The sequence below is a fragment of the Homo sapiens genome, chromosome 10 (genome assembly GCF_000001405.40).
Source record: "Homo sapiens chromosome 10, GRCh38.p14 Primary Assembly".
NCBI lineage: Eukaryota > Metazoa > Chordata > Mammalia > Primates > Hominidae > Homo > Homo sapiens.
In genome coordinates this window covers 72,543,978-72,559,442 of record NC_000010.11, presented here as the reverse complement: position 1 = coordinate 72,559,442, position 15,465 = coordinate 72,543,978, and the positions used below count along the sequence as shown (strand labels likewise).

General features: G+C 38.5%; 1 protein-coding gene across 22 annotated transcripts in view; it reads left to right on the top strand.

Annotated features, from left to right (window-relative positions):
- Positions 1 to 15,465, top strand: part of MICU1 (mitochondrial calcium uptake 1) — a 258,740-nt gene that overhangs the window by 66,637 nt on the left and 176,638 nt on the right. For all 22 annotated transcript variants that reach the window (NR_199811.1, NR_199809.1, NR_199810.1 and 19 more), the window contains one exon: positions 8,102 to 8,264. Coding sequence is in view for 16 of the 22 variants with exons in the window: in NM_001441226.1 (NP_001428155.1) it covers positions 8,102 to 8,264 (163 nt within the window). In the remaining 6 variants the exon portion in view is untranslated. The remainder of the gene's footprint in view (positions 1 to 8,101; positions 8,265 to 15,465) is intronic.

Below are 15,465 nucleotides of genomic sequence, written 5' to 3'. Positions count from 1 at the left end.
TTATAAAATTATATAGTCTGTAGTTTATAAAATTATATAAATTTTATAATTTTATAAACACCCAACACTCAGTTTTGTCAAGTTTTAATATTGCATTTACTTCAGATTGTTTTTTAAAAAAGAAATGAGTATTAAAAATACATTGCTTTTATACTCCCCTTCAGTCCCTTTCCTCCCCCATCTTCCATCTTCTTCAGAGGTAAACTGGTATCCTAAATTTGCTTTTTTGTTTTTTATGGGTTTTTCTCTTTTTTGGAGAGAGAGTCTTGCTCTGTCACATAGGCTGGAGTGCAGTGGTGCAATCATAGCTCACTGCAGCCTTGCACTCACAGATTTAAGCAATTCTGCTGTCTCAGCCTCTGGAATAGAGAGGACTACAGGTGTGTGCCACCATGCCCAGCTCATTTGAAAAAATAAAATTTGTAGAGTCAGAGTCTTGCTCTGTCACCCAGGCTGGAATGCAATGGCATGATGAAAGCTCACCGCAGTCTCGAACTTCTGGGCTCAGGTAGTTCTCCTGCCTCAGCCCTATTAGCCAGGACTACAGGCATGCATCTCCATAACCAGCTAATTTTTTAAAAGATTTTTTATAGAATGTGGTTTTGCCCAGGCTAGTCTCAAACTCCTGGCTTCAAGAGTTCTTCCTGCTGCTGCCCCTTTTTGTTTTAATTTGTTTGTTTTGCTTACTTTTTCCTATTTAGTGCTTGAGTGGCTGCTTTCTCTCACTTGCTAGGTTTTTTTGTTCAGAAGTAGGCCTTATATTCATAGCTCTGTGCTTCATTGTATTGAAGATCCAGTCACTGAACCCAACAACAGTTTGGCAAAGGTTCTGGGGCAAAGCTGCGGAAAATGCTCTAAATGAGCATTTTCTCTAGGTAGCAGCTTACTAAAACTTTACCCTCCTTTCATGGTCAAGAGAAGCCCTGCCGTAGCTTCTTCTGGTTTTATTCAATGAATTTAGCTCTGGTTCATGCCTCCTTTTCTGCACACTTACTGCCGTTCATATCCCATATACTATGAGCCCCTAATTGCTTTGCCTGTTTTCAGACTGAAGCCCAGAAGCCTACAACTTCATTTCTTCCTACCACAGTATGTTTCTATGCAGTCTCTGATCCACAGAGATGGTGTTTTGTTTTTTGAACTGGTTATGCCTTTTAAATTTTTCTCAGCTTTAGGTTTATCAATGATTTCTGTATTTTTAGAGCACAGGCTCAAAAACCAGAAAATTCTAAGTTTATTGAAATCCCACTGTCGTTTCTGTACTTTTCAGATATAAAATTGCTCTTTGAATTGTGAGATCCGTTTACAGAAAGCGTTGCTGCTTTTTAGACTCTTGCTCAGTAAAGATATGGTTTGTTATTTTTATATTTCTGATAGCTTTGCCTGCATTGTTGTTTCTGAGCTATTTGTTTGATTGAGACTATGTTTAGTAGCATCTTCATTTTAAAAAGCCAAATTATTTAGTTCAATTTGTTGTAATTTTAAACTGATTGATAGGAAAACACGAATATTAAAAGATGTAAAATGTGCTATATATGCCAAACAAGATGCGAAAGAAAGTAGTCTGCTGCTGGACACTCGACTCAGTTTACTTATTTACAAACAACAGAATGAATAGAAAAATGGAAGGAAACTATTGAGCATTTTCTGTGTGCCATAGTATATATTTATATGCATGCATCTATATATGTATGTATATATATATTTGTGTGAGTGTGTATGTAGACATTCACTTATATACATATATAGTTTATTGTGTGAAGGAGTTTAGTAGCTTGCCTAAAATCATACAACTAGTTACTCATAGAGGCAGGAATAAAATTTAAGTCTGTCTGACGTAAAAACTCTTGCTCCTTATACTGCATTCTTTTAACATTATGTCTTCTGGTCACAAGACTTTGTTCATGGTTTAACCTTGGTCAGTTATTGTGTCATTTCAGTGATCTTAAGATTTCTAAATGTGATCTTGAGCCTTGATTTTTCACTGTATCCACTGTGGTGGAGATTGCTAGTTGTCCAGTGAATGGGAGTAATTTGAACCATGTCTAGGCCTGGCTCCTAAAGCCCCCACAGGGTTTTTCAATGCGCTTTCCCCTTTTCCTGAGAGCTGGAATGGTGATGAACTGAACTGACCTTGGAAGCCATATATGTTGGCTGCCTTGAACTTGAGTACATGAAGGAACTTATCAATTCCTGTCAACTAGGAAGGTGCACTGTGGGTTGTATCTTAGTGAGAAAGACAATTTCATTTTATTGGAGATAGTGTATTTTGAGGTGTATTTGTAATAGCATTTTAACCTACCCTAACTAATATGCTTGTTTTAAAAGAAAGGCCAAGAATCAAGGCCATAGAGATTTTTCTTTTTCTTTTTTTTTTGGGATGAAGTCTTGCTCTGTCACCCAGGCTAGAGTGCAGTGGCGTGATCTCTGCTCACTGCATCCTCCGCCTCCTGGGTTCAAGTGATTCTCCCTGCCTCAGCCACCCAAGTAGCTGGAATTACAGACACCCGACACTACGCCTGGCTAATTTTTGTATTTTTAGTAGATACTGGGTTTCACCATTTTGGCCAGGCTGGTCTCGAACTCCTGACCTCAGGTGATCCACCTACCTTGCCTCCCAAAGTGCTGGGATTACAGGCGAGAGCTACCCACCTGGCCAGATTTTTTCAACATGGGCAAAATATGTTGGAGAAGAAATTTTTACAGATATGCTTTTACCATCAATAAGATACAGCAAATGAAAAAATATATTATTTATTAATTTGGGGACTTATTTTGACCAACAGTTAAGAACGTTACTATGGGGCTGGATGCAGTGGCTCACACGTGTAATCCCAGCACTATGGGAGGCCGAGGTGGGTGGATCACCTGAGCTCAGGAGTTTGAGACCAGCCTGACCAACCTGTGAAATCCCATCTCTACTAAAAATACAAAATTAGCTGGGCATGGTAGCACATGCCTGTAATCCTAGCTACTTGGGTGGCTGAGGCATGAGAATCACTTGAACCTGGGAGGCGGAGGTTGCAGTGAGCTGAGATTGTGCCATTATACTGCAGCCTGGGCAACAAGAGTGAAACTCTGTCTCAAAAGAAAAAAAAAGAATGTTAATATTGGAATTTATGTATATTATTACTATTACTGCCAAAAATTAATTTACTTTATGAGACTAGTGTCATAGAACTTGGAATTGCATAGAACCTTAAGAGATCATCCTATGACAGATGCTCATTATTATGGATGGCCAAAAATTGACTAGCAAAAGGAGAGGGAGTCTCGAAAATGGAGGACAACTGTTAGGTTACAGATTAGGTTATGTCACCTCTTGAGAGAGAGTGTGCCGGCCACATGATACATTTACAAAACCTTTCTGCCTGCTACTTTTTCCAGGTGTGGCCTCAGTCTGTATCCCATGCCTATGCATTATTTCTGACATCAGGGTCCACAGGGATTTACTGTCACTTGCATTATCTTGGGCTCAAGACATTATATCCATGGTTTTCCTTGGGCATTCTACCAAAATTAAGCCATAAAACTGGTATCAGGACCAAGGGAAAATATGTCCCTTTTAACAATAGAAAGAGCCCATTCTTCCCCTATCCTCTCCTCTTATTTAATTTGTAACCCAACTGAAACAGACAATTAAATATAGGCCTTTGAAACAGAGGCCTGTGGTGGTGATATGGACTACCATGCAAGTAGAGGCATCAGTTGCTCATCTCATCTAATCTTCCATCCATGGTCAAAAGATAGGTAATCCTTTGCAGGAATGTGGTTGGTGATGGGAGCAGTGTAACTCCTCTTGAACCATCTATTAACTGTGTGTGGTGTCATTCAAAGAGCAAGCCCAGGAGTAGTTTTAAAGCATTGTTTGAGTGAGTGAGGTACTCATCACAGTCAGTACTACCAACTTGGGTAGACTCATTCTTTTTATATTCTTTTCCCCTTGCTTCTGCCGTTAAAAATGGAGGAGTGGTGATGTTCACCACTGTCCATATCACTTAAAGTTGTCAAATCACAGAAAAAATTAACATTTTTCTTCCTTAAGTTTTTTTTTTATAGTTATAACAATGTACTTTTCCTTTCTAAAACTCAAGTCTCAAGCTGGGGCTTACTTTTTATTGGTTGGTCTGCTTTTTTGTTTTGTTTGGTGAAGTTAAGTAACAGTAAACTAAAAGATGATAGCATTTTGTAAACACAAGATTTTAAAATGATCCTCATAGCCCCTCTTTCTTAGGGGAAATAATTATGATAATGATCTTCATGTTCTTCTTCATCTTCCCCTTGCTGGGGAATTTTTTGCTTCATTTTGAAATACTCTTACTATTCAGAGTTCTTCCTCACGAGTCTAGTTTTATTGTTCAACGTCACATAGAATGTCTGTTTTTTGTTTGTTTGTTTTGGGTTTTTTTGTATGTTTTGTTTTGTTTTGAGATAGAGTCTCTCTCTATCACCCAGGCTGGAGTGCAGTGGCACGATCTTGGCTCACTGCAACCTCTGCCTCCCAGGCTCAAGAGATTCTCCTGCCTCAGCCTCCCCAGTAGCTGGGACTACAGGTGTGTACCACCACAACTACCTAATTTTTGTATTTTTAGTAGAGATGGGGTTTCACCATGTTGGCCAGGCTGGTCTCGAACTCCTGACCTCAAGTGATCCACCCGCCTTGGCTTCCCAAAGTGCTGGGATTACAGGCATGAGCCACGGCGCCTGGCCAATGTCTGTATTTGAAAAAAATAATTGTTTTACTGTTGTTTTATACAGATATAGGAAACCTAAAATGATTTTTGTAGTAACCATTTCTTTTTGTTCTTCATAGTTTTTTACTCCAATGTTTATTCCTAGACATATAGTTTAATTTTGCTTATTTTGTTTGGTGATATATCTTTAAAGCCTCTTAATCTACAAGTGACAGAATGCAGGCCATTTAGCCCATAAAGTTTCCTAGAGCCTAGGTTTTACTGATGCTTATTCTCAGTGCAATTCAGCGTGTTTCTCTTTTCTCTATATTACCTAAATATTGGCATCTGGATTCTGAGGCTCGATCAGACTCAGGTTTGATCCCTGCAGCAAGATTAGTGGTGGTATTATGTTATTTTATCATAAGACACCTAATGTCTAGTTGCTTTTCTTTTGCAGTATTAACAGCTATTGATGTTCATTGCCTATATCTGTTAATTCATTGAAGTTGCAAAATGATATTCTAATTTTATCAAATCTTTTTCATTTATTAATTGGAATATTTTATAAACAGACACTGTCCCTCATCTGCTATTTGGTTATAAATTCTCTTTGGCTACTCCTTGATGCAGTTCATATAGGAAAAATAATGCCCAAATTTTGATCCAATTAAGTCTAGCAGTGTTATTGAAGACAGATGTCTCAATAATGCTCAAGAAAGTCTTATAAGGTATATGACTGAATGAACCATCGTAATTATCTTAGTATATCTTTTCTCAGGCTAAACATCCCAAAATCCTTCAACAGATTTCTATTTATCTCTGCTTCCAAGCCTTTGTTATCTTGGATGCTATATTCTGAACTCTTTACATGATAGTTTGTTGTTCCTTTTAACCAGGCTAAGGTACAATGCTAAGTGGAAAAAAAGCAAAATATATACCATATAATAGGTCTATACTAAATTCTACCAATGTGGGAGTATACTAAGTCTGTTACTTTCTTTGACCTATTATTTCAAAAACGAATCTGATTTTGTCTTAAATTCTTGATTTTTAAGTTCTTATTTTTTTACCTTTATGTATATGATTGACTTAACTTTTTTATTCACAAAGTCACAAAGTCCTCATTGCTAGTAACTGCTGCTCATATACCCCAAACATTCCGAATGGTTTCTTTTTTGTTGTTGTTGTTCAGAGGAAGAATAAAAATACAGATGGCCTAAAGAAAGGTATTTCTGGCTGGGCGCAGTGGCTCACGCCTGTAATCCCAGCACTTTGGGAGGCCAAGGCAGGCGGATCATGAGGTCTGGAGATCAAGACCATCCTGGCTAACACGGTGAAACCCCACCTCTACTAAAAATACAAAAAATTAGCCGGGCGTGGTGGCGGGCACCTGTAGTCCCAGCTACTAGGGAGGCTGAGGCAGGAGAATGGCGTGAACCCGGGAGGTAGAGCTTGCAGTGAGCCAAGATTGTGCCAGTGCACTCCAGCCTGGGCAACAGAGCGAGACTCTGTCTCAAAAAAAAAAAAAAAAAGAAGAAAGGTATTTCTTCTGTAGCCATTATTTCCCAGCAGACAGTTGTTGTGTAATATAAAATGCCTTCAAAACTTGTAGCTATGTCTCAAGGCTGCTGAGAGGTTGCAAAACTCTTTACTGTGTTTGCCACATGCTCAATCTTTTGATAAAGTCTCCTGTGAAATCTATTCAGATTGTATTACAAGTTAGCATTGAAAAAATTCCTGTCATATGTGGTCACAAATTTGCAGTCTTTTCTCAGTTGCTAAAAGCACATGTGGTAGTGGAATTAAGAGCCTTGTTAAACAGCTGCTGCCAGTGACTTCAAAGTGACATCTAGCCAGGACTGACAGTTATAGTAATTTCTATGTTAATGTGGCAAATTTAAAATATCAATAAAGGCTGGGCGTGGTGGCTCACGCCTGTAATCCCAGCACTTTGGGAGGCCCAGGCAGGTGGATCACTTGAGGTCAGGCGTTCGAGACCAGCCTGGCTAACATGGTGAAACCATCTCTAGTAAAAATACAAAACATTAGCCGGGCGTGATGGCCGGCACCTGTAATCCAAGCTACTTGGGAGGCTGAGGCAGGAGAATTGATTGAACCCGGAGGCGAAGGTTGCAGTGAGCCGAGATCACAGCATTGCACTCCAGCCTGGGCAACAAGAACAAAACTCCATCTCAAAAAAATAAATAAATAAATAAAATAAAATAAAACATCAATAAAGTTTTTCTTAACATTGGTAAATTGCTTTATGGACATGGAACTGATGAGATTATAGGTTTTATTGCCTTGACACATTTTCTAGCCAGTTATTTATAAGATATTTATTGTTGACTATTTCAACTGTAAAATTCAGGTATGAGATAAATTTTTTTCACTAAAATATTATGTGGCTGGTGTAGTATTTTGTATGTTCCATGTGCAGAATGGGGGCTTGTATACCAGATAAGGGAATGAACTTTCATATTAACTAGACAGCCTTTTAGTTAAATATATGCCATACTTGATTTTGTTGCTATTCCAACATTTGCTTGTGTGATTCCCAACTTTGCTTTCTAAATATGCCATACGTAAAGGATCTCTAGCAGTTTGTTTAATTTTATAATCAAAAATCTGTTGCTTCAGACCTGTTAATAATTGAGTTTCCATGATACGTAATTTTATTTTTCTATGCCATCATTGAATGTACTTTGACTTTGAAGACCTACTAGCTTTTGAAACCTATGAAATCTAAAGTCTGTTTTGTTTTAGGAATTAGGAAATTACATAGAAGTAGAAACTGTAAAATCAATCCCTTTATAAAAACTTGGTATTTAGGCCAGGTGCAATGGCTACTTCCTGTAATCCCAGCACTTTTGGAGGCCATGGCGGAAGGATCATTTGAGCCCAGGAGTTTGAGGCCAGCCTGGACAATGTGGTGAGACCCTCTCACTACAAAAATAAAGATAATTTTTAAAAAAGAGAATGTTAAAAAAATTCTTCTGGGAAGGATTGTAAAAAATAGAAAAAAAGACTTGGTATTTAAGAAGCTATAGGTTGGCATATATATGGCATTGTACCCTATTACTGAAATCTTCTGAAATTTCTTATGACATTTAAAAATTTTGCTAGCCTTCAGTGATTTAAAACATTAGAAAATTCTTCAAAAAAAGTTTTAAACAAAAGTTACATGAGCATTGCCTCAACTGGAATATGAATGGTATATTGCAAGAAATAAAAAATTCCAAGAATATTAACAATTTTTGGTATTCATTTGTAATATTAAAAAACTAAGTATAGAAAAAAATGATAGAATTTCTTCCCAAAATAGGATGGAAAATATATGAGAATTGATGAGCAGTGATGATAAGAATATATGAGCATATGAGCATTGCTTAATATAGTAACACTTTCTAAATTTCTAACTTTAGGTGATGGAATATGAGAATAGGATTCGAGCCTACTCCACGCCAGACAAAATCTTCCGATATTTTGCCACCTTGAAAGTCATCAGTGAGCCTGGTGAAGCAGAAGTGTTTATGACACCAGAAGATTTTGTGCGATCCATAACACCCAATGAAAAACAACCAGAACGTAAGTTGCTAAAGTGAAATATAAGACTGTGATATTTATTTTGTTATAGGCTACTTTGTCTCTTTCTACATAGTACTGAAATCTTACAGGTCCTTGTAATGATGATATGAACAGTGTGTCTATTGAATATCAGGCATTGTGCTAGGCTTTAGGAGTACAAAAGAGAAGCCTGCAGTCTAATGTGGCAATCTGCAACCAGGGTAAGAGGTTGAGGAGATTGTCCCCCTCTGGTTGAGATTCACTACCTGTAATTAGAATGTTCTCGAAGGCAATACATTACACATACAACTGCTATCAAGTCACTCTTTAGTGAGGAAAACTAGAAAACTTATAAAGTATGAAATTAACACACTTTTAAAGTGGGATCAAATATATAATCACAAAGGAAATTAGAAAATGCTTTCAGTTGAATGAAAAGGAATACAGAACCTCCCAAAACTTATGCAGTACCACAAAAGCAGTGCTCAGAGGGAAATTTATAGTTATAAACACCTATGTTTAAAAAGAAGAATGATCTAATCAATATTCTAACTTTCACACACATAAAACAAAGTTATATATTGATTGGTTATGAAAATGTTGTGACCATAGTCTCAAAGGAGCTTAACCCTGAATTTCCCCAAGAGCAATAGGTTGATATTCACTAATTCATTGTCCACAGTGACTGTATAGAACATAACCACAAATAACAAGAATTGATTGTACCGTCACGGGCCACTTAATGATGAGGATATGTTCTGAGTAATGTGTCCTTAGGTGATTTCATTATTGTGCAAACATCATGGAGTACTTAATGCAAATCTAGATGGTATAACCTACTACACATCTAGACTATATAGTATAGCCTATTGTTCCTAGACTATAAACCTGTATGGCATGTTACTGTACTGAATACAGTAGGCAATTGTAAGACAATGGTAAGTAATTGTATATCCAAACATATCTAAACATAGAAAAGATATAGTAAAAATATGGTATAAAAGATGGAAAATAGTGCACCTGTAGATTTTATAAACGTTGTATACTTAGACTACACTAAATTTATTTTAAAAATAAAATAGTTGTACTATGATGTTATTATTGGTACAAAGTCACTAGGCAATAGGAATTTTTAGCTCAATTATAATCTTATGGGACCGCCACTGTATATTCAGTCCTTTGTTGACCAAAACGTCATTAAGCAGCACATGACTGTATATGGTATAGGAGTAGGATATGAAGAAACTAATTCTCTTTTTTTTTTTTTTTGAGATGGAGTTTCATTCTTGTCACCCAGGCTGGAATACAATGGCGCAATCTCAGCTCACTGCAATCTCCACCTCCTGGGTTCAAGCGATTCTCCAGCCTTGCCTCCTGAGTAGCTGGCATTACAGGCATGTGCCACCATGCCCAGCTAATTTTGTATTTTTTAGTAGAGATGGGGTCTGGCCATGTTGGCCAGGCTGATCTCACACCCCTGACCTCAGGTGATCCACCTGCCTCAGCCTCCCAAAGTGATGAGATTACAGGCGTGACCCACTGCACCCGGCTAAGAAACCAATTCTTTAGAGAGTATATAGGAAGACATTCTAAATGGAGTGCTATTTGAGTTGGGTTTTGAAAAATGAATAATAGCTCATTATATAGAGGAGAAAGAAAAGGCATCATTCAGAGTGAGTAAATTGTGTGGTCAAAAATACAAACAGATGGGCCAGGCGCTGTGGCTCATGCCTCTAATCCCAACACTTTGGGAAGCTGATGCAGACAGATTATTTGAGCTCAGGAGTTGAGGACCAGCCTGGGCAACATGGCGAAACCCCATCTCTACAAAAAATAAAAAAATTAGCCAGGCACGGTGGTGCGTGCCTGTAGTCCCAGCTACTTGGGAGGCGGAGGTGGGAGGATGGCTTGAGCCTGGGAGGTGGATGTTACAGTGTGCCAAGATGACACCACTGCACCCCAGCCTGGACAATAGAGCCAGACCCTGTTTCAAAAAAAAAAAAAAAAACCAAAAAAAACAGACACATGAAACAACAAAGTGAGCTTAGGGAACCAAAAACATTTATGTCATTTTCTAACCAGAAAGTTCGTAATATTTTGCCCACATTATTAAATTCACATATCTCTAGGTCAAATAAAAACTATATAGAACCATCACCCCTCCAAAATGTATGAAATTTGCTATTTAAAATTTTTGGTTGTTGGCCAGGTGCGGTAGCTCATGTCTGTAATCCCAGCACTTTGGGAGGCTGAGGCAGGCAGATCTCTTGAGGTTAGGCATTAGAGACCAGCCTGGCCAACATGGCAAAACCCTGTCTCTAATAAAAATACAAAAATTAGCTGGGTGTGGTGGTGCACACCTGTAATCCCAGCTACTCAGGAGGCTGAGGCAGGAGAATCACTTGAACCCAGGAGGCGGAGGTTGCAGTGAGCCAAGATTGTGCCACTGCACTCTAGCCTGGGTGACAGAGGGAGACTCTGTCTCAGAAAGAGAGAGAGAGATAGAAATACAATTTTTGGTTGTGGAAATTTTCAAACATGAAAAGTAGAAAATATAATCAACCCATATGTTTACATCACTTAGCTTCAACAATTATAACACATGGCCAATCTTGTTTCATCTATAACCTCTCTTACTTCCTTTCCTCACCCCAGATTGTTTTAAAGCCAATTCAAGACATGTAGTGCAACCTGTAAATACTTTTGCATGTGTCTCTAAAATATAAGAACTTTAAAAACAATAATACTTTTTAAATATTGCAATTAAAAACAGCAGTTATTCCTTAATAGCAAATATCCAGGCACTGTTCAAATTTTCCTATCTAAAAAATAACTGTTACAGTTGGTTTGTTTAAATCAACCTCTACACTGCATTTGATTGATATGTCTCTTCAGTCTTTACTGTTTTTTTCGCTTTCATTTTTTTTATTGCCATTTATGTGAGACATATTTTATGCCTTGTCTCACATTTCTCAGCCCACCTTTTTGCTCAGGTTGCTGCTGCAGCAGTTAGTTGTACAGTGTTGCAGCCTGACAGGATGAAACCTCAGCTATGTTGTGTATCTGTTGCTTTCTCCTATAGAGCATCTCTGCTGCTATAGCATGGGACACCTGTAGGAACATACTCAACCATGTTGGCACATGCACACATTTGGAGATATAAAGGCATTAACACTTACTGCTGAGAATTGGTGGATACCCTCTTCTCCATTGTCTTGGATGATCAATTCTGATATACAGACTACATGGTTTCTCAGATGGGCTAAGGGGAGTTGAGCTCTGGTTGTCTAGAGTGGTAGTCAACTTAATAACATACCCTTGAATTGGCTTTTTCTGCTGACCTGTTTCACTTTTCTTAGTCCTTCCACACTGGTACCTTGCTTTTAAGGAAACCAAACTAGACACCATTTATTTGTGGAAGAATGTAGGTCATTTGTATTATAGAATTTCCCACATTCTGGATTTTACTGATTGCATCCATAAGGTGTTGTTTAACATGTTTCTCTATCCTTTGTGCTTCACCCATATATAAAATACATAGAAAGTGACTTAAAAATGAATATACCAAAGTATTAACTCTGTGAATGTTGAAATTATCAGAAATCATTTTATTCTTCTTTGTACGTTTCTTTATTTTCTAATAGACTTTATATATATATATATATACATATGTGTATATATTCATTCAACATGTATTGATTGATAGTGATGAGTTAGAGAACATTCTAGATGCAAGAAATACAGTAATTAATAAAATGGACAAAAAGTCCTGCCCTCTTAAATAATCTTTTATAATTAGAAAGAAATGAAAGGTATATAAAACTTCTCATTAATTGCATTGAGCTTTTAATTTAGAGCATTGGCTGGGTACTGTGGCTCAAGCCTGCAATCCTAGCACTTTGGGAGGCTATGGCAGGAGGACCGCTTGAGGCCAGGAGTTCAAAACCAGCTTGAGTAACATAGCGAGACCCTGTCTCTATAAAAATAAAAGTAAAAAAATTAGCAGAGGCCGGGCGTGGTGGCTCACACCTGTAATCCCAGCACTTTGGGAGGCCGACATGGACAGATCACGAGGTCAGGAGATCGAGACCATCCTGGCTAACATGGTGAAACCTCGTCTGTACTAAAAATACAAAAAAAATTAGCTGGACATGGTGGCGAGCGCCTGTAGTCCCAGCTACTCGGGAGGCTGAGGCAGGAGACTGGCGTGAACCCAGGAGGTGGAGCTTGCAGTGAGCTGAGATTGCACCACTGCAGTCCAGCCTGGGCGACAGAGCGAGACTCCATCTCAAAAAAAAAAAAAAAAATTAGACGAGCGTGGTGGCTTGTGCCTGTAGTCTCAGCTACTTGGGAGGCTGAGGTGGAGGGATCACTTGAACCCAGGAGTTTGAGGTTACAGTGGGCTGTGGTCATGCCACTGTACTCCAGCCTGGGCAACAGTGTGAGACCCTGTCTCAATAATAGTAATAATAATAAATTTAGATCCCTTTAAATTAGCTTCAGCACCTTGTTTTGTGATATTGAAGGAAGAAAGTAAAGAAAGCTTGCATGTAGATAAAATCTTGTTTGCGTTAAGAGAAAAACTTTAGATAAATTTAACTGAGTTTAATTGAGCAAAGAGTAATTGGCAAATTAGGCAGTCCCCAAATCAGAATAGGTTCAGAGAGGCTCCAGTGTAGCCACATGGTGGAAGATTTATGGACAGAAAAAGGTAAGTGATGGACAGAAAATGGAAGTAAGATACAGAAGCGGCCAGATTTGTTACAGCTTGGAGTGTCCCTTATTTGAACATCATTTGAATAATTGGCTACAACTTGATGATTGGCACAAGAGTATGTTACACATACGCAGTTAGGTTACAGTTCACTATGTACAGAGGAAGCTTTAGGCTGAACTTAAAATATATAAGGAGGCAGCTTTAGTCTAAACTTAATTTAACAATTCCCCTCTTTTGGTCATCTCAATGGAGAGATTGACCGAAACTTTAGTCATTGATGTCACTCTGTCATCATTTGCTCAGACAAAGGAAAAAATGGTATAAGTGAAGTTCAGTTAAGACAAGAAAAGTGCACCAGCACTCTGGGAGGCCTAGGCAGGTGATTGAATGGACCCCTCCCCTTAGCCAAAGGGATTCCAAAGATACATGAGAAACTGGTTCAGGCCATGTTGGGAAGGGGGTTTGGACATGCCTCATTATACTCTTTGTTGGAACTCAGGCTTAACTAACTAGCACTAACATTAAAACAGATATTTAAGATTGACAAAACAGACTGTTTGTAGCAAGAAGATACCACATTCCAGCCTGACTAGTATAGCATCACATGACAGAGAGCAGGCCCTGAAAGAAATCAAAGTATTTTACTGCAAAATATGTTTCTTTGACACATTTTGAAATGGCCCTGCAAACCTGTCTCTTCTGGGGGAAATTTACATTCTGTAGAGAATCGCCTTCCCTTTTTCTGGTCTTTGTCTGATCCTGAGGAGATAGCTGAGAGTCTAACACCTTTTAGAGGCTTGAGTAGGAAATTATTTGCCATCTTTTGTCCCTAAGGGCAGCCACCTATGAGACTTTATTTACATAATAAGAACCTTGGTTCTCCCCAACCCCTATCTTAACCCACTCCTTTCTGTTGACTCCAGATCTTACATAATAATTTAACTCTTTCAACCAATTGCTAGTCAGAAAATCTTTGAATCTGCCTGTAAGCCCTTTCCCTGCTTCAGATTGTCCTGCCTTTCTGGACCAAACCAGTGTATACCTTACATGTGTTAACTGATGTCTTATATCTTCCTAAAATACGTAAAACCAAGTTGTAACCAAACCACCTTTGGTATATATTCTCTGGACCTCCTGAGGCCGTGTCACTGGTTATGGTCCTCACATTTGGCTCAGAATAATCTCTTCAAATATTTTATGGAGTTTGTTTTTTTCATCAACAGTAATCATGAGGAAAGTCTGATATATTGAAATGAGATTCAGTGGGAAATTTGGCTTCGTTTTCATTTGCTCATGAACAGGAATTTCCAGAAATGTTGATGCAGCAGAAGTAAAAGATATATTATTCCTATATGGGTTGAGATAAGGAAAAAAATGAGGCTGTAGATTTTTTGTAGTTTGAATTTCTATCAGAAATGGCTGGACTCTAGCCAGTAGCTCATATTTCAACTTTATTTTGTTGTATTTTTCACACATACTGTATCCCAGGATACCCAACAGATCTAAATTTGTGAGTTTTACTTTTAGAACAGTTCAAAAATAATCATGAAGCACAGACTACATGAAGCCCTAAAATTAAGCAGTTTTAAAATGAATAGGGGAGCAGATGAACTTTAGAGTGCAAGATGAATAAGAATTCTTCTGTACCAAATGTCAAGAAAGTTTGGAGTAATCATACTTGAGTAGGACAGACATTAAAAGGAAAAAAATATTCTGTACGATTTGAATATGTCCCATCTCCCTCTCTATGAAGTCTGAATGTCATTGCCCTCCTTAGGTATAATGAGATAGATAGTTGCTTCAGGCTCTGGGCTTTGAGTGGTGCTTGCTATTGCAGTAACCAGCTCTGCATAGCTGGCCAATTATTTGAGGAAACAGTGGCATGGGGAGAATTTTTAAAGTTCTATATAGAAAAACATGAGCTTTCTTTAGAGCAAAGCATAGCCTATTGCAAAGAGGATCTCTATTTTCTTTCCACCATATCCAACTGGCTGACCTTATTATCTTGATGTGATTTCATCTTCATTGGAGATGAAAAGGGTGTAAAAGAGGGAAACACAGATCATATTGTGATTTACTTCTCCTGGACTCCATATTATCTCTAGGATGACCCCTTGTAGCAGGACAGGCCGCAGACAAAACCCCTCAGACACCGGGTTAAAGAAGGAAGAGCTTTATTCGGCCGGGAGCTTCGGCAAGACTCACGTCTCCAAAAACCGAGCTCCCTGAGTGAGCAATTCCTGTCCCTTTTAAGGGCTTACAACTCTAAGGGGGTCTGTGTGAGAGGGTCATGATCAATTGAGCAAGCAGCGGGTACGTGACTGGGGGCTGCATGCACCGGTAATCAGAACAGAACAGAACAGAACAGGACAGGGATTTTCACAGTGCTTTTCCATACAATGCCTGGAATCTATAGATAACATAACCGTTTAGGTCAGGGGTTGATCTTTAACTACCAGGCCCAGGGCACAGCGCCGAGCTGTCTGCCTGTGGATTTCATTTCTG